This window comes from Homo sapiens, chromosome X (assembly GCF_000001405.40).
Source record: "Homo sapiens chromosome X, GRCh38.p14 Primary Assembly".
NCBI classification, from domain to species: Eukaryota; Metazoa; Chordata; class Mammalia; order Primates; family Hominidae; genus Homo; species Homo sapiens.
In genome coordinates, this window is record NC_000023.11 from 55,143,055 (window position 1) to 55,162,382 (window position 19,328).

General features: G+C 37.9%; 1 protein-coding gene across 12 annotated transcripts, besides 4 other annotated features; it reads right to left on the bottom strand.

Annotated features, from left to right (window-relative positions):
* Positions 1 to 47: 47 nt before the first annotated feature.
* On the bottom strand, positions 48 to 18,131 carry VCF2 (VCP nuclear cofactor family member 2). 12 transcript variants are annotated; one of them, NR_030722.2, is made up of 4 exons: positions 18,083 to 18,131; positions 16,068 to 16,174; positions 3,127 to 3,257; positions 48 to 821 (listed from the first exon to the last, which is right to left on the bottom strand). NR_030722.2 is itself a non-coding variant. In NM_138362.4 (4 exons), the coding sequence occupies exons 1-4, from the start codon at positions 18,100 to 18,102 to the stop codon at positions 725 to 727; spliced, it is 348 nt and encodes a 115-aa protein (NP_612371.2). In that variant the 5' UTR covers positions 18,103 to 18,131; the 3' UTR covers positions 48 to 724. The 12 variants fall into 12 exon arrangements, 11 of the variants coding, with proteins under 11 accessions (NP_612371.2, NP_001160171.1, XP_016885442.1 ...); NM_138362.4 differs by having other exon boundaries at positions 16,075 to 16,174; NM_001166699.2 differs by having other exon boundaries at positions 16,072 to 16,174.
* Positions 17,794 to 18,093: an enhancer, noted in NCBI's record as "active region_29676". NCBI's record gives its function as "activates an Ori minimal core promoter by ATAC-STARR-seq in GM12878 lymphoblastoid cells {active_cell/tissue: GM12878}" and the evidence as "EXISTENCE:reporter gene assay evidence [ECO:0000049][PMID:35858748]".
* Positions 17,794 to 18,419: a biological region, named in NCBI's record as "H3K4me1 hESC enhancer GRCh37_chrX:55187406-55187906".
* Positions 17,919 to 18,419: an enhancer, noted in NCBI's record as "H3K4me1 hESC enhancer chrX:55187406-55187906 (GRCh37/hg19 assembly coordinates)". NCBI's record gives its function as "activates a minimal SCP1, AML or CMV promoter by ChIP-STARR-seq in naive H9 embryonic stem cells {active_cell/tissue: H9 hESC(naive)}" and the evidence as "EXISTENCE:reporter gene assay evidence [ECO:0000049][PMID:30033119]".
* Positions 18,420 to 18,920: an enhancer, noted in NCBI's record as "H3K4me1 hESC enhancer chrX:55187907-55188407 (GRCh37/hg19 assembly coordinates)". NCBI's record gives its function as "activates a minimal SCP1, AML or CMV promoter by ChIP-STARR-seq in naive H9 embryonic stem cells {active_cell/tissue: H9 hESC(naive)}" and the evidence as "EXISTENCE:reporter gene assay evidence [ECO:0000049][PMID:30033119]".

Here is a 19,328-nt window from a genome sequence, read left to right on the forward strand (position 1 = left end):
AAGGTTCTTGCCTTAGCCACGCCAAAGAGAGAGACACAGATCAGACCGAGAGTAAAAAAGCTGTAGGCTTTATTAAGCAGAGTGACAGTACAAAGCTTTCACAGCGTGGAAGGGGTCCCGAGCGGGGTAGCCAGTGTTAGATTTTTTTATCACCTTTTAAACTCTCTAAGGCAGGAAATATGTGTGGTGGGAAGATGTTACCAGAGGGAGAAACAAAGACAATTAACATGTCTCAGATCTTGAGGAAAACTGGAATTGTAACTTAAGTTTTCTCTACTTATAACCTTGCAGCGGGATGGCAAAGGAGACAGGATCTCACGGGATTTTACAAATTGTGTTTACAAGGAATTGGAATTGGGACCATAGATAAGGTCTGCTGGTCACAGAAAAGTGGGCTTTTAACATTCCTTTTAGTTTCAGGGGAGGGGGAAGGGAGAGAGGGAGAGAGGACACAGGGAAGCTTACAACAAAATTTTCGCTGTTTATAGCTTTCTTGGGGAAGAAAACACAGGCGCAAATTCTGATGTTAGGAATGTTTTAAGCACATATCTTCAATATTATTCATCCAGGACCAAAGTAAGTCCGCATGCAGGAAATGAGTGAGTTTCACAGCTTTCTGAGCCCCTACTTGACCCAGGAAGCCCAGCTGGAACCTCCTCTCACTTTCTACTTTCTTCTGATATTCCTTGAAAATACTTCTCCTTCATAGCGGAGATAAGTAGTTTTAAACAGCTTGGTTCCTTCCCTGCTGTGAAGTATTGAGTTTTATTTCAGGACCAAAGGACATAAACCAGTTTATGACATAAACAGGTTTAGACAATCTGCAAAAGACAGGACAGAGATTGCATATTGTATTTACTAGGACAAGAGATTTACACTGACCACTCTGGAATAAGACTGTGCTTACTTAGTTCAACTAAGTACTGAAAAGTCTTACAGAGACTGAAAAGCCAACACTTTTTCTGTGTGTATGTAATTGCTTTATTATTATTATTATTATTTTACTTTGAAAAAATAATGCTTTGTCATGGTGACAGTTTTATCTTTGATATCTTTAAATAGGGGGAATGAATGGAAATTTGCTTTCTCAGCTGTTCAACTACACTGTGTTTTTAATAGACACTTTCTTTCAGTAGGATGCTATGTATTTAAGCATGCAGAATTCTTCCTGGGTATTTCTGAATCCTGTTGTGTACATGTGGGTTGAAAATTCAAATATCTCATCTTCTTTAGTACTTAGTTGCTCACTTTATTGTTAGAGAAACTGGTGGCTAGGTATCCTTTCTCTATTTTCTGCCATAAAACCTTTTAGAATTTAAATTTCTTCTCACCATACATCTGGTATTGACTTTGGAAGCACTGGCCATAGAAAAAATGTTCTTACTCAAACCATCTAATTAAGAAATAATTGACTCATGCCTACTCCCTAAGTTTGAGGCCAATGTGGTGCTGTAATTTTTTCCCCATAACACTAAAATTCTACTGCAAGTATCTTCCTTAAAATCCTACCCATATTCAAGGAAACAACCATGAAAATGTGTGTGTGTGTGTGTGTGTGTAGGTATGTATTCTTTTCCTAAGATAGTGTTCATTTTCATATGTTAATTCTGTCATTTAATAAAATCTCATTCTTCTTTCAGTAAAACTGTAACCTTACGTCTTTTCCAAACCTTGCCAATTGGCAAACACCTCTTTGTAGAGCTATCCATAGTTCTCAGATCTGCTAGTTTACACTCTGTGGACCTCCAAATATAGTGGAAAAGATAATGTGACCAGGGAGGAGAGGATTGTTAGACTCTAACGCATTTTTGTTTAAATCTAGCAACAGGTTGTACCCTTTGCATAGTCCAGGGCAGATAACCTGATGCATCCTGGTCCTTTGTTCACACAGCTCACCACTGAGGAAGCACATCTATGAATTCCCCATTCAAATTTGGTTGGCTCTTTAGTATGACTAAAACATGGGGACCCCCCCATCTCTAAATAAATAGTACTGCCTGTTTCTTCTAATGGCATCTCAGCTTATTGTTTCTAAGCCATGTGAATCTTTGCAATTTTAATAATGGAAGCTAGCCCCCTAATCTCTGGGAAAGGGTCTATGTAGCATAAAGTGGACAGTTGTCCAACCCACTTCCATAATTCTTGTTACTTTAAACATCAGTTTAGTAGCTTACACTGTATTAACATTAACTCTATACATAATAGATGGAATTATGAGATCACATAATGTGCTAACGTAATAAATTTTTGTTTAAGACAAAATATTACATATTTCTTATCTGACAGAATTGTGCAGTGTTTCCTACTAAGTCTGAAGTGCACACTCTAGAGGATAAATGATACAGAAGGTATCTAAGTATACAAGAGCCTTAGAAACATTCTCCCTGGAAATACAAAGTGTAGAGACAGTTATTAGAGAGAGATTTTCATGTTCATAGTCTAAACTGGGTCTGATTGTTGCCATTACAACTAGAGAGCAATTTCAACAGAACATCTACCTTCTGAGGGGAGTATGGCAGTTCATTTCAGTGCAAGACTGAATCTGGCTTTGCATATTTGGGAATACTAACTTATGGTTTTTTGAGTGTGGATTTTTTGTTTGTTTTTTAAATGAAAGCTACATACCTCTTTACTAGGCTACTGTATTTTTAAAAATGAAGACTTACTTGTATTTTAAAAAGATGTTTAACATAGAGTTTCTAACTGACAGATCTGGAAATCAATCTGAATTGGACATATGGCTTCAATGCACAGGAGAAGTTTCCTCATATTGCTACCTTAACATGAAATTGACACTCAACTTGAAAACTCTATGTAGAAAGAGTAAAATAAAAATAAAAATAAAAATTTCATAAACATTTATTCACAGCCCCTTTAAAAGTACAACAGTGAAGTAAAACCCCAATTAAACAACTGCCCATTAACTTGTTACTTAAAATGTAGACTTAAAAACCAATAGACTTTTTTTGGTGTGTATGCAATTGCTTTTATAAACACAGTTTAGGTTGGAATAAGGAAGTCCTAATTCATCATGTTGGAGCTTGCCCTCGCTGCTGCAGGCTGTTGAAGTGAGCCTCCTTCAAGGTCTGGTTGATATGGGAGTAAAGACCTTGGCATGGTACATACCCCTCATGCAAGAACTGGGGAAAGTTTGCATCGGGTTCAGTAACAATCTGGTTTAAGTTGCCTTCTGGTCCACTTGCTCTCTCTGGGATATTAATGCGGCTGCTGCTCCTTTCATTATCACTCCATGAAAACTGGAAGGAAAAAGACAGAAAGGGGATTGCTATTATGCTATTACAACATTTTTCCTACTTGGCTTGGAGAATAGCAGCATAAAACTCTATAATGGGCTTAATGGTTTTTACAAAGTAGAGCCATTTAAGATAGTTCATTCTATCCTCACAATAACCCTTTAATGAAGTTGGGATTAACAGCCCCCATTTTACAGATGAGGAAACAGATCACTGCCTTGTCCAAAGTCATATATCTACGAAGTGGCAGGGTGAGGATTCAAACACAGGCCTTGCAATTCCAAATCCCTTCACACATTCTCTACCCTTGCTTGTACGATTTATTCCAATAACTGCATCAGAGAAGTAAGTACTCATCCTCCACCTGAAGTATCAATTAATGCTGAGGATGTAGTAGAAATAATGACCATAACAAGTAAGTTGGACTATGGGTAAAAGTTACAATGAAGCAAATAAGACACACACATTTATACATACGTGCATACACACATAGATACAAATAAACAATGATTTTGTTCACATATCCTGATGGTGGACATGTATGGTCTTCCTATATCAATTCAGTGCTACATACATATCCTGAAAGGCATTTGACATACTTTTAGTTAAAGTTATATGTTACTTATTAGCATTTTATGACTAGTATTCATTGTTCTTCTATACTTATGAATTTAATAGGGTGTGTATTTTCCTCTTAAGATCTCTTTTTCTTTCATTAAACTAACATGATTCAGTGTCTTTTTTATGTTGGAGAAGCTACTCAGGGATCCCTGTAAACAGTTGTTTCCAAGAATTTCCTGCCTTCCAATGTTACAATTCCCAAAAGAAGAAGGTAATGGCAAGGACTCTTATTCAAATTACAATATTTAACAATGCTGGTATTATATTTCTTCTAAGTAAGTTTTTTCCAAAGGTAACATTAGTAAGATTTAAACCAAGAATGGTCATAGTCCATAGGTCATTTGCAGCTGTTCAACTTAGGTCACACAGTAACACTGTCCACAGGTACCAAGAGACAACCTATGCTCATCTTTATCCAACTAGAAACATGTTAAAAGAACTTGTGCAGGAAAAGAGATAGAAGGGGTCAAATGAAGCCAGATGTGAGAGTTAGCAATAGCAATCAAATTGATTTAAGGATTAAATGTCAAAGCCAATTCAAAAAGAAAATTAAAAAAAAATTTTTCCTAGGCCTGAGTATAAAAATATAGAATGCCCACTGTCACAAAGTAATGAAGTTATGAATATTCCAAAATTAAGTAAGCTATTACATTGGATAAGAAACCCACAGCTGACAATTCGGTTCCTCTTAGTTGGCTTTCCTTGTTTTTTTTTTTTTTTTTTTTTTTTTGTTACAGTACTGCCTGAAAAATAAGGTAAGAACTAGAAATCATTTCTGATGAATCAAATTTTCTTCTCCAATGACAACATATTGATTTTACACTGTAGTGCAACACTAGGGTGATGCTATGCTGTGTACATTAAAAATTCATAGGCTAGAAGGGATTTCTTTAGAATAATTATTAAGAAAAAAATCTACCTTTAATTTGTTTCATTTTAAAAGTTTTTAAACTCAATTGTGTACAGATAGAAATGCTCATTAAGACATTTTTATGCTATCAATATTTTTATTAGCTGAAAATCAGAAATAACTAAATGTTTAAAAACAAAGAAGTATTTAAATTATAGTGCATGCATTCATACAACAGAATCTCATCAGCCATTAACAATAATGATATATCATTCTATATCAGAAGTCTTTATACTTCAGGTTCTTAGAAAAACCTAAATTTATAGGCTATAAAAATAGTTAACAGAGAAATAACTAAATGATGACATTCACAGCTTTCATCTGAGTAAACCATTTAAAAAATTAATTAGGTAAATGTAATAGAAAAAATGCCTGTAAATAAACTTGTCATATAATTTAAAATCTAAAGTTATATTAAGTTAAATAATAAATACTCATTAAACATCTGGATGATTTCTAATTTTTAAAAAATTATAGGAAAATATTTTTCTAAAAAATATTTTCTTATTTAAAAGAAAATAATTTTTGTCTAATTCAAAGGTTACTTAAAAGTTATTTATGAAACAAGGTGAAAGAAACCAGTAAATAAGAGCAATGTAAAGAAATGTCTCTTTCTTTACATACTATATATTTACCTCTTTATAAATATAAAGGGGTATTTTTGGCAAGAAACGTTAAAAGGAAAATAATTTTATATGAGAAAAAATCTTGTATGGTAAATTTCTGTCCTAAAATAACTGGTTATTTAAGAAAGAAAGATGTCTGGGATAAAACAGGAAGTCCAAGCATCTCATTAATGATTTGTATCAAGTTGTCTATAATTAAAGGGAAATTATTTATAATAGTCTTTTTAGAGATTGGGTTTTGATTTTTTAAAAAACATACACTAAAGAATCAGTTAGAGCAACAAAATTTTCTTAAGGTATTGATTTACTCTCAATAAAATTACAACGGATTTTAATTTGTTTAACCCAATTTTCAACTTTTATTATCTTGTATTTTCAGCTTTCTCTCCCCCTTGAAAAGGCCTGAGATAATAACCCTCTCCTTCAACTCATTTTCAGCTTCTGTAATTTTTCTCCTCAGGTTCTAACTGTTTGTCATAGCCTGATGCTAAAAATGTTTTATCTTAAAGGTCTAAAGAAAATGTTTTCTTCCAACATAACATTCTGTGCTCTTGGCTTTAAATTTGTCCATGAATCTGAAAATTTTCATTTATTACCCAGGAAACACTCTGCCTATGTCTAACTAATTCAAGTATCATTTTCATTAGTTTTGATTTGCAGCTTACCTAAATGGACTTTCCATAGGGAATATCAATTGTACTGCAGGAGGTTTTTTTTTTTTTTTTTCTTGCCTTTTGGTAACTGGTCTAACAAATTTTACATTTTATCAAAATAACTCCTATGCCATTGTTATTAAGTTTTAATTTGCTTAGAAAAAAACTGAGGTTAAATTTTTCTTTTAAATCAAGGTTACTATATCCACGTAACTTTCTTGCTTTTAAAGTCCTTGTGCCTTTAAGTTACAGGGCGTTGACTCCTGGATATAAAAAGAACACCAAGTCTTGCTAAATCTTAAACAATGACAGCAGTTAAAGCCTTATCTTCAGACCCAGTAGAAGATACCAATCAAAATACACTGTGTTCATAAGGCACAAGGCCAGAAATTAAAACTATTAAATTCCTCAAGGCCCAGGGACTATCATGGAAGAGGTGGGTGTGTGAGATTGTAACGGCCAATTTTGAGAGATAAAATTAGTTCAGTTTCTCTATAAATTAACTATTAATATTGAAGGCACACTGATGCAAGACCAGCATCTGGGCCCCGATGTCAGAGTAACAAGGTTTTCTTGGCGCATTAACCCATTTCTTAATTAAAGAAAAATAAAGGTTATGAAAAAATTTATTGAAATTATATCTTATGGTCAAGATGACCAAAACTTAATAAATTTGTTTGGAAAAATTTAAAAGACAGATTTAATGGGCCTCATGTTGTCTTTATGAAAGCTTATGGTTTGGGAAATTAAGTCTCCTGTCTCAAAAAAATAAAAACTTTTGTCTTTCTTTGAAATCTATCACTCAGCTAAATGAATGACTTATTTTACAATGACTTTTGATCCTATTTTGTGATATCAAGTGTTTTTAACTTTTTCTAGTTGACAAACTTTCCAAAATAAAATTCTAAATTTGGTCCTCATTAATCTTTTAATATTAGGTCCCCTGACGCCCAAAAGAGACATATTTGGGTTATTTGATATAATACAATCATACAAGAAGTATTGTCAAATATAAAATGGCATTTAACCCTTGGATTATATTTATATAAATGTGTTATTAGTATGTGTTTCAGAATTGTATGAAATTCCTGTGATTCTGATATGTCTTGGTACATGTCAGCAGTCCCCAACCTTTTTGGCACTTGGGACCGGTTTTGTAGAAGACAATTTTTCCACAGATGGGGGAAGGAAGGGATGGTTTCAGGATGAAACTGTTCCACTCAGATCTTTAGGTATTAGATTCTCATAAGGAACACACAGCCTAGATCCCTCACATGTGCAGTTTACAACAGAGTTTGCGCTCCTATGAGAATCTAATGCTGCTGCTGACCTGACAGGAGGCAGAGCTCAGGCAGTATTTCTCGCTTGCCCACCACTCACCTCCTGCTGTGCGGCCTGGTTCCTAAGAGGCCGTGGACCAGTACCAGTCTGCAGCCCAGGGATTGGGAACCTCTGGTATATGTTATCAGTAGTAATAATGATTATGTAAAATAGTTGTAAGCCACAGAAGTAACCAAATTTCCTTGTCAATTATGTCTTTATGACTGTTCTAAGACTCTTGTCATTCATAGTTGTTTTACTTTTATCACTTTCAAAAGGTGGTTTTATAATCAGCTATAGGACTCTGACAGGTACTCTTGAATGCAGGCTTCTGATAACTTTGGAGACTGTGATACTAGAATAGAGGAAAAACTTCCAAGACTCCCACAGAGAGCTAATGTGTTCATAAACATTGAGCAGAACAGGAGTTAATTACCCAGATGAAACTAATGGAAAACTGAAATAATCTTTTTGTGACTTCGAAACATTGTTTGAAACTCAGAAACTTTTGTTTCTGAATTTGTAACATTGTTTCTTTTTCTAACTTTTGTTTCTGAGTCCAGAAAACCATTTTTCTTTGAGCTATTTTGCAGCTTTTAATATTGGGTTAACTATGTTAGTGTGAGAAAAATCTGAAGCATATTTCTACCTGATTTTTCCAGAATTTGAAAACTATTTGCAAGTATACGTAGTTTATGGTAGTATAGTTATTTGCAAAAAATTGATAAGACTCTGTTTTCTTTTGTAACAGGACACAATTGAAGGCACTGATTTTACTGAGGCTTTGATTGGAATGGCAGATCCAAACAGATTACTTTAAGTAATCAAAGTTGACTTATAGAGCCAATAAAATCCCCTTGAGAAAGCTGGCCTCATATATTGTCTACACAGTACATGTACAGGTTCGTGACCTGTGGTAAGTAAAGAATGGCACTTTCTGACAGGCCCAAGGAGTCCCAGATTATCTTGGGACCTCAGTAAGTAATTTACCCAATTAATGTGGGTATTTACAGGCACAGATAAATCCATGGCTGCGCCCAAGGCGTTGAAGTGTAATCTGAGATTCCTTATGGAATAAAGTTCCAGCAAAACAAAAGAGCGTGCACGGCAAATAGTTATTCTTGCTGACTTTATACAAATACTCAGGCAAAGTATAATAAAACTAACGCTTATTTTACACATAAATTTGTCCTATGATTTGTCTTTAGTGAAAATGGGGCTTGGAGAGAGAAAAAATATGTTTCAAAATGAACTACAGTACACCTGTTGTTAGATTCTAGTCTTGCCTAATGTTTTCTCAATTTTTCTTATTTTCTAGTTTAGGCTGGATTCTAAAATTTTTCCTGGCTACAAGTCTCCAAAAATAATGTTTTCATTTTTTTTCTTTCTTTCCTTTCCTTTTTTTCCATTTTTCCTTATTTGAAATCACTAAAAATTAAGCTGTGCTTTCTTTTTTTTTTTTTTTTTTTTTGAGACGGAGTCTCGCTCTGTCGCCCAGGCTGGAGTGCAGTGGCGGGATCTCGGCTCACTGCAAGCTCCGCCTCCCGGGTTCACGCCATTCTCCTGCCTCAGCCTCCCAAGTAGCTGGGACTACAGGCGCCCGCCACTACGCCCGGCTAATTTTTTGTATTTTTAGTAGAGACGGGGTTTCACCGTTTTAGCCGGGATGGTCTCGATCTCCTGACCTCGTGATCCGCCCGCCTCGGCCTCCCAAAGTGCTGGGATTACAGGCGTGAGCCACCGTGCCCGGCCAAGCTGTGCTTTCTTAAAACCCTGTGAACTGAAGCTAGACAACTTCAGCTTCAGAAAAAAATAACAGCAACCTATTTACATACATAAAACACTTTCATACCTGCCTACAGATGTATGGACTTCAGAGTAATATGGCCTATATTGATTTTCCAGGATTGTTCTCCATCTTTTTGTTTGTTGTTTTCTTTCTCTCTTCCTCCCCCTACTTTTTTTGTCATAGAACATGATACTTCACAACCTGCTAAAAATAAGGTTTCCTAATAATGTGTGACCTACCCATCTAGAAACAAACCATCTTTGCCACAAGAGATCAAACAAAATCTGAGACCAGAGATTCATTTTCTTCTTAAATGCTTTCTCCAAAAGATTTAAGAAAGAAAGTGGTAAAAATGTGAAAGGAAAATAAATCTCAGGGCCCTAAAATCATTAGGCCAAGGGAAAATTAGTGAAAAACATTTTCACTAAAGACAAAGCCAAGGGAACTACATCAGGCAAACCCACTTCCCATTTTATTCCTAAATCAGATAGCTATAAAGATTCTTTTTAAAGCGACATACCTTTCTCACAATTTGCCCACAAAGAAATTCCTTGTGGGACTCAAGATCTTTACCCTAAAACAGTTCTGTTGAATTTTACCCTGGCAATGTAAACTGATAACTTATCTTCACAGGTGTCAGACAGAAAGTCACCCCTCTGCTCACCTGAGACAAATGCATATCTGATTACTCCCTCTACCCTATTGTTTGTGTAAAAATGCAGATTCACCAAGCCAGACTAAATTGTATATTCAGTGAAAGGCAGATCAAGGACTCAAAAGATTGCAACCTCTTGTCTCTTATCTACCTATGACCTGGAAGCCGCAGCTTCAAATTGTCTCGTCTTTCTAGACTGAATCAATGTACATCATACACATATGGATTGGTGTCTTCCGTCTCCCTAAAATGTATAAAAGCAAGCTATACCCCGACCACCTTGAGCACATGTTGTCAGGACCTCCTGAGGCTGTGTCACAGGTGCGTGCTTAATCTTGGCAAAATAAACTTTCTATATTGAGACCTGTCTCAGATATTTTGAGTTCACATATACAGAGTTGGGACTTTAAATAATTTTTTTTAAATTTTAGTTTTGTATTTTCACTTTCTTTTTTTAAATTTTTATTTATTAATTTTTTTTTTTTTTTTTGAGACGGAGTCTCGCTCTGTCACCCAGGCTGGAGTGCAGTGGCGCGATCTCAGCTCACTGTAAGCTCTGCCTCCCGGGTTCATGCCATTCTCCTGCCTCAGCCTCCCGAGTAGCTGGGACTACAGGCGCATGCCGCCACGCCCAGCTAATTTTTTTTTTTTTGTATTTTTAGTAGAGATGGGGTTTCACCATGTTAGCCAGGATGGTCTTGATCTCCTGACCTTGTGATCTGTCCGCCTCGGCCTCCCAAAGTGCTGGGGTTACAGGCATGAGCCACCGCGCCCGTCCTGTATCTTCACTTTCTAACTCATCCACTACAAATATATTTCTTTTGTGAAAAAGAAACATTTTAAGTAGGCAAACTAAAGAATGCTACTACAAAACCAAGTAAAATCTCCTGCTTATGGATTCAGTTACTTCTGACTTCAAAGCAAAGACTTAAAAAGCACTGTGATTCCATAACCGAGATTTTGGGAAGAGGGTTTAACCTCCTTTAGCCTAGTAAAGAGCATCTACAAAGTCATATACACTAGCATTTTCTAGGCTAATAATGCTGTTTATTTAATAAACATAGCCTATATTATGCAACCTGGGCTTTGTCACACTTACCTTGTGAATCTGTTTCATGTGAGATCCCACTTAATGGACCGTTTATCAGAATGATTAAGAGGAAAATTTGCTTTTGATGGTGTATGGTTTTGACACTTGAAACTGCTATCTTAGTACAGAAGCATTAACCTTAATACACTTTATTTTATTATTTTTTTAGAGACAAGCTCTTGCTCCATCACCCAGGCTGGATTGCTGTGATGCAATTGCAGCTCACTGTGGCCTTGAACTCCTGGGCTCAAGGGATCCTCCTGCCTCAGCCTCCCAAAGTGCAAATTCTTTTATCAGAGAATAAATGAGATTTTAAGCACTTTAGTATTTGGAAAGGCTCATAATATATAAAACATCTTCACCATCCTCCTGAATCCTCATACAAATGTCTTACCAGAATGCTTATACTATCTGACAGTTACAAAGCTTATTCTTTTTTGTCTGAATTTTCAATATAGGTTTAATGCTTGATATCTGTGCAAGGCAAATGAAGAATAGAGCCCTTGCAAATTCACACACATAGCAAAATAAAATTATATTTATGAAGACTCTAAAGAAGGGGATCTCATTATGCAAAATTCACAAAGGCACTTTACAAAACTCCTGGGGTCCAGGTCTGTGTGAAAAAGCAGGATTTAGGTTAGTTTGGGCCATAAAGAAATCTGCATACTTACCTGTAACCAAAGAAACTTTGAGGCCAGCAGGGATTTGCTATAATACATTCTGTTTCAGAATAGGCATCAAAATCACCGTGTGGTTTTCTAACACTTTGACTCGTGTGCATATGCTGGGGCCCAACCTCTGAGAGGCTGTCAAGTAGGCACAGATTGTTCTGATGCCCAAGCAGTATCTAAACAAATATTCGCATGTCTATTATACAATGTATAAGAAGGCACTTTGCCTGGGCTACTTAGGGATTCAACAGGTAATTCTTGAGCCTAATCAAGAAGCATACAGTACTCTGAGAATGACAGCATCAAGCTATTGCAATGACAAGAATGTAGCAATGAATGCTGACTGGGGAAATAGAGGAGGCTTCTTAAAATGAAATGCATCTGAGCTAGGCCTTCAAAGATACAGAGAATATTAATAGGAAGGGTGTGACAAATGGAGAGAGCAATAAGAGCACAAGCAAGCTGAAGAAGAGTTCTTGAGGAGACAAAGCCACAGATGATGTGGCTGGTATCTCCCAGAGAAGAGTTAGTGAGAGCTAAAATATGCAAGAGAAGATACGGCTAGGTTATCAGGGGCCTTGAATGTTACTCTAAGAAGTCTGTACAAACAGGTATTTGAGCATAAGATAAATGCTCAGATGTATATTTAGGAAGAGCATTTTAATGGATGAATGAAATAGGGGGTGGATGAGACCACAAAAATCACTGGGAAATTTTGCAATGTATCAAGCAAGAGGCAATGCAAGCCTGAATTAGGATGGTGGAAATGTAAAGAAAGGGATATATTTGATACACGCAGAGGTAGAATAGAAAGGAATCATTGAGGAAATGACAGAGACACTAAGTTGATGCCAGGCACCCAGGACAATGATTGGCAAATGGTAGGTGCTCAGTAAATATTTGGTAATGCAATTTAGGAAGTCTCAGATGTTTCCTGACATGTTACAGCAAAGGAATAGGGAGGGGATGGAGGAGCTAAGGTTTACTGAGCACGAATGGAGGTGAGAAACAAAAGGGAGTGAATGCAGATTACAGTTTGGATTTAAAAGAGAGGGAAAAGACACAGTACTTGAGAGAAAAATAAACTAGACACAAGATTAGTTAGGGAGTGAAAAGAGAACCTTAGCAGGCTAATGAAGGATAAATAGAACTGAGGAGATGAGGAGGAATATTAGTTACAGAATATCTTCACAAAAACAGAGCAGAAATTCATGCATGTATTCATGATATAAAATTATATAACACTTTTTAATGATAAAAGCAGATGAACCCAGTATTTTACTTTCTTCTTCTTCTTTTTTTTTTTTTTTTTTTTGAGAGGAAGTCGCACTCTGTCACCCAGGCTAGAGTGCTAGAGTGCAGTGGCACGATCTTGGCTCACTGAAACCTCCGCCTCCCGGGTTCAAGCGATTCTCCTGCCTCAGCCTCCCGAGTAGCTGGGACTACAGGTGCGCGCCACCAAGCCTGGCTAATTTTTGTATTTCTTTAGTAGAGGTGGGGTTTCACCATATTGGCCAGGCTAGTCTTGAACTCCTGACCTCATGATCCACCCGCCTTGGCCTCCCAAAGTGCTGGGATTACAGGCGTGAGCCACTGCGCCTGGCCCAGTATTTTACTTTCTTTCAAGCCCTAGCTTTCCTCTCAATTCCATCCCTCCATGCCTTACAGCTTTTCCTTTATGTGAACCTCCACAACAAAACATTCACTCCTAATACATAGTCTATCCCTGGAATAATAATATGATGCTTATTCAAAGGCACCTGTAGAAACTTGAGTAAGTAAAACAGATGATCCTAACCAAATCCATCAGAGGGCACTTAAAATATGTGCTCCCAAAGTTCCAAGGCATTTAAAATGACGTGTACACATTCTCTAATACTAGAAACATTGTGGAATCTTATGAATTGTAAAATACAAAATTAATTAGGTTGTTGAATTACAACCACTTTCCAAATTAGCAAGGTAATGATATTCATGTGTTAACTTCTCTGTGCTGATGGGGTAAATAATCAATGCTTTTTGTAGCTTAGTTTCCCTCCTAAGATGAAGTTAGAACAGACACTGAGTTGTAAGTTATTTTCCAGCTCAAAAATTAAATTTATAATAGAATCTATACAACTATTTAAAAATCTATACAACTCACCTTGTTTCAATTCAGTAAATGGGATTTGAACAAACAAAAATGAAAAAAAAAAGACTGATAGGTAATCCTCACCTGCAGAAAAACATGTGGACATATTCAATTCATTAAAACAACTGAGATTGTAAGATTCAATTGCAATATGAAAGTGCTTGGGATGTTTAGTATGCTCCATGAACACGGCTTCTTAAAATGTACAAAATAGATTAGGCCATCTTTGAAAAAGCTTGTTCCTCCATTTTGAATGTATCTTTAAGTAGAAGCTAATTTCAGAAGGTTCCCATTTTGCCATAGGGTTTAAAACCACATCTGATGACCATTACATTGTTCAACAACGATTTCATCCCCAAAAATGTTTCCCAAAGTAGTTCTGTCTCTTAGAATTTATGTGATCAAACGTGATGAGAATGACTCCAAACTACTAAGAACCTAAGAGAAAATGTTCTTCAAAAAATTTCACCAAAGCCGGGGCGTGGTGGCTGATGCCTGTAATCCCAGCACTTTGGGAGGCCGAGGCGGGCGGATCACTTGAGGCCAGGAGTTCGAGAACAGCCCGGCCAACATGGAAAAACCCCACCTCTACTAAAAATACGAAAACTAGCCGGCCATGGTGGTGCATGCCTGTAATCCCAGCTATTCCGGAGGCTGAAGCACCAGAATCGCTTGAACCCGGGAGGTGGGGGTGCAGTGAGCCGAGATCGTGCCACTGCACCTCCAGCCTGGGTGACCCAGTGAGACTGTCTCAAAAAAACAAAAATGCCCCAGTTGTCATCTGAATTGATATTACTTAAAATGATAACCTGACAAGGGGAGATTTCCTATCAGCTGAAAAATAACAGGATTCATAGACCTCTAATTTTAAATGTATTTGGGGCCTCCTAGTTCTGTTTTTCTCTCATTTGTCTTATTTCTGCTGCCCCCTTGGAATTGTAGCATTAGGGCACAAAATCTTTTCCTACTCTATACAGTAGGGAAGAGAAAAAGGCAGAGATCTGCTCCAGATAAGCCACTTGTGTGTATATCTACATAATATTCCACTCTTAATTTCTTGTACTACTCAGTAATCTGAAAGGTAAAATGAATGTTCCTGGCAAGTTAGACACACTTGTACAGAAATGTTCGGCTCTTTGTGTTTGTACTTTCTGTAAGTCTTATACCTATGTACTAGGGTTTTTACAGGGAAAGTGGTGGTATAATTTGTAAGATGTATGGTTGAAAGAAAATATTCCTATATGTGCAAACATATCCAACAAAAATCCCCCAGCACCTAAGAGAACAAATTATATAAGTTAAATCTAGTTATGTTTTACCCATCCAAGTAGCTGCCCACAATCTTGGATAATCATACCTGTGTATAGGTAGGTACCAAGAAGAGGACCTGGATTGATAATCTTTTCTCATCTTGCTCAAAAGAGGGCAAGGTGAGCCATACTTAGTTATTAACTAAGAGGATTAACTCAGAAAGACTTTATGAGGTTCCTTTAACACTCCACTAGTAATTATATCTCAATTAAAGCTATATTATGCTAATGAATACAAGTTATTAAAGTGAAGCACCTTGAAGTTAAAATTCAAGCTCCTTAGAATGGTGGTTACTAGAGGTTTAGAAGAGAGGAAGGGGGGATGAAAAGAAGTTGGCTAAGGGGTATAAAATACAGTTAGATAGAAGGAATAAGTTATAGAATTCAACAGTACAGTAGGAAAATTACAGTTAACAATAATTTATTGTATATTTCAAAATAGAAGAGAAGATTTATAAGTTCCCAACACAAAGAAAAGATGTATGTTTGAGGTGATGGGTAGCCCAATTACCCTGATTTGGTCATTACACATTATATACAGGTATCAAAATATCACATGTACCCCCAAAATATGTACAACTATTCTATATCAATAAAAAATTAAAAACTTCAAACTCTTTTTCCAGCACCATTAAAGTTTTGCAAAAATCATGAGACTGCCCCAAATTTTTCACTTTTTTTCACTGAGAAAGCAAGACTTGCCTTCCAGCTAATAACATATCACTATGTACTAGAAAATATGTTTTCCATATAAAAAGAAGGGAAGTAAGACTACTATTCCCTGCTCATATGAGGGGACAAAATTACAGGGGCTAATTCCTCCTGATTATGTTTAGCAAAGTTTTTCTGTGCTTCTTTTCCATTTTCTGTGAGATACTATATCATAATTTAAAGCTCCAGCTCAAAAGCCACTGTAATCAAGCAAGAAAACTTTTATGAAGGTTTCTTGGAATAATACATTTCTTTTCATTATGGAGCACAAATTGGATAATTTAGTGTAGGCAATGAATGAAATAGAGGCAATCTGACCATACTTGCTACCTCTGTATCTTGAGAATCCTGAAAGATAGGGTTTCTCTTATTCCTTTTGGGCTGGGTGGAATGATGGTTGCCCTCTTTACTGCCATTTCTTCTTCTTTTCCTGAAAATAAATTGTAAAGAGAGAGTTGTTACATGAAACAACTGATCTTTTGGATGCTTAAATTGTAAAGCCGTGACAACATACATATATGAGAACTTGTCTGAAAAAATGTCACTATCTGCTATCCCAAGATATAAAAGTCATATAAGTACTCCATTACCAGGCATGAAGATAAAAAAATGTAATACAAGAACTCTAAGTAAAGCCAAGCTGTGCATTTCATTTCTAGAAATAATTTTCATAACCTTAAATGATCCTTGAAAATAAAGAATATGAGGAATTTAATAGCTAAGTTTTCAAAATCTACCTAATTAGTTTCATTGTTTTGACTCCATGAAGTTACAATTCCAGGGTAAGTGATTTTTAACTCCTTCAATAAGATCGTAAGACATGTGTGTCTGCCAGTGTCTACTCTTAAGTTCTTATGCCAGTGGTGTAGCGACACTGAAGAGATATTTCTTGTATGCTGAATGTGGTTAGGCACTTACTGTTGCTATACCAGCTAATATTATGACATAGTTACTCCACTAGATTGTCACCATGAGATTGTGGCTGATTACTTCCTTGAAACATTCTTTTCTCAAAATTGTTTTCAATGATTGGTAAGATTACATCTTCAGTTTCAAGTTCCTTGTCAATAAGTAATCAGATTGCAGCGTTTGACATAGTTTTCACAGCACTCTATTATTAACCAGACATTTGCTTAGAGACTTACTTTTGAGTTTTTGGTACTCCTAAGAATGGCTGAGTTTACTCATTTTTATAATTTCATTACTCTTTAATCAATTCTCATCTCTAGGAGACTGAGTACTAGGAGACTCTAGGAGACTGAGTACTGAGTACAAAATGCCAAATAAAAAATCACGTAGAAAACTGCTCCTATATTACACTCCATTATGAAATGATTGATTATATATAAAGAAAAAATGACCGGGTGTAAATATTATTTTATTTCACAATGTTTATTGAGCATCCACTAAGTGCTAGGCACTCCTCCAGGTGCCAGGATAAAAGAGTGAAACAAACACATGCCACAGCTCTGCCTTCATTAGGGAGCATGGTGATGTTTGTCTTTGATCATGGTATTTTGAGTATTTGAGTATTTTGCGCTCAAGTTTTACTGAAACTTTCAACAGCTTACAATACGTTTGCATTGTTTTTAAAACAGAGTAATACTATGAAAATGATTTTTCAAAGTGTGAAGCTGAGTTTAAAAAGCGGAATGTTCATGAAACAATGTTAATCTCATTTTTTAAAATGCAACTTTACGAATGAAAAACATCTAAGGAAATTTATCACAGAATATGATTAATGGTCACGGCTGGGTGATCGGACTGTGGATAAGATTGGTTTCCTTTATTACGCTTTAACAGTCTAACCAAGTTTTCTACCATGAGATTCAGAGACGTTTGTAATGAAAGAATACATTGATAAAGGTCCATAGAACCCCAGTAACACGTGGAGAAAGATGACAAAACCAATCAGAGAAACAGAAATACCAGTTGCTAGGGTACCTAGCAGCCTCACCGAGGAAATGCCAATTTGAAAAACAGAATGCTATTGTCCACTGACTGAGTTTTCGCGAGGGACCACATCCCCACCTCACCCCCGCCTCCAGGGCTTGTAAGGCACTGACAACCAAAGAACCAGCATGTTCTTTCGGAGAAGGCTTCGCGGGATTTTTTTTCAAGCACGAAGGGCGGGGCACGAGGCAAGCAGGGCCGCGCCACCGGCCAACACTGTCACCTGCAGGTCATGAGAGCCGAGCGCCACCAACCCCGGAAGAAAATACATATCCGCTGCGTTTCCGCCCTGAGCCCCGAGATCTTGGCTGAGAAAGCAAAGCGTGATGACCGTGGGGACCAGAGCTCGGACTGGTACCGGCCGGAAAGGCCCCGACGAACTTACCGTACAGGGCAGCCTCCCATAGTCCTGCCCTCGGAACCATAGCAACCGCGCAGGAAGTTCCTGCGCCGCCGGAAAAACGCAGCCCGGAGGGCGGGGCTGGCCAAGGATTGACGGGCTCTGGGCCTGCGCATCGGAGCCCGGGGAGGTCGGCTCCTGTTTCCTCTGGGTCCGCCGCAGGCTCCCTTCCCTGCAGTTGGGAGCTGACGCCTGAGGGACGATCCGCTGAGGGTCAGGCTCTGCTGCGCGACTGCCCGAGCCGCCCCATGTTCGAGACCTGTGCCAATCCCATGGACATTCTCCTCCCACCCAGCCAGCCTCTGAACACGCTTCTCACGTGGCACACGCCCTGTCCTCGCAGCCCTCACACCGCTGATCCTCCTCGGCGACCTCAGCGCCCCCGGGGCTGACCAGGCCGTGGCCGGCGCCTCTCCGTCCTCGGGGGGGTCTCCTTCCCCCCACTTAAGTCTCTTCTGCCCGCGGTCATGCCCTGGGCCTCAGGAAAGACCGCGCCCCTCCACGATGTCCATTTCTTGCATCCCCCATTCTCATAACGGGCAGCACCCGATCGTGTCCTAACAGCTACCTCTTCCAGTGCCCCAGCATCCACAGCCTTTAGCCTCAAGGAGGCCTCCTCTCCACTAACCACAACCGCGTTCCTCACCATTCACCTTCCTTAGCCAGCTTACCCAAAGCTATTAACTCTCTCCTCCCTACTCTCCTGGCAGTCCCCCCGCCGCCAAGTAGACAAACAATGTACACCCTCCACAAGTGTACCTTCTCTGTCTAGTCTACTTACAAGATCCCTCCACAAGCACCAGCACCCAATTTTCTCATGATATTCACTGATATTCCCTTGAGAAAATAGAAGCAATCAGAGAAGAATTCACACCACTTCCCAACAGCAGTAGACCTGCACTTATAATCTTGGCTGCTTCCCTGGAGGAAGAGACAGGATCCTACTTGAGACCAGGCCCTTCACCTGGATCCTATGCCTTCCACCTTCTTAAGGGATCATCCTTTGCAGTTATGCTTTCTCCTGAATTATCATGTTCCTCTATCTGTATTTATTATCTAAAAAGTTGGCAAAGGGAGTGCTAGAGTTTAGGCTGATCCTGGTTCTTGCTGTTAAGTAGGTGATCTCACAGGGGGCTGCATTCCCTGAGGATGGAAGGGAAGATGTGGAAAGTGGCTGATTCAAGAACTAAAGATCATGCCATAAAGGAAGCCTAACCCAGCTAGGGGCTAG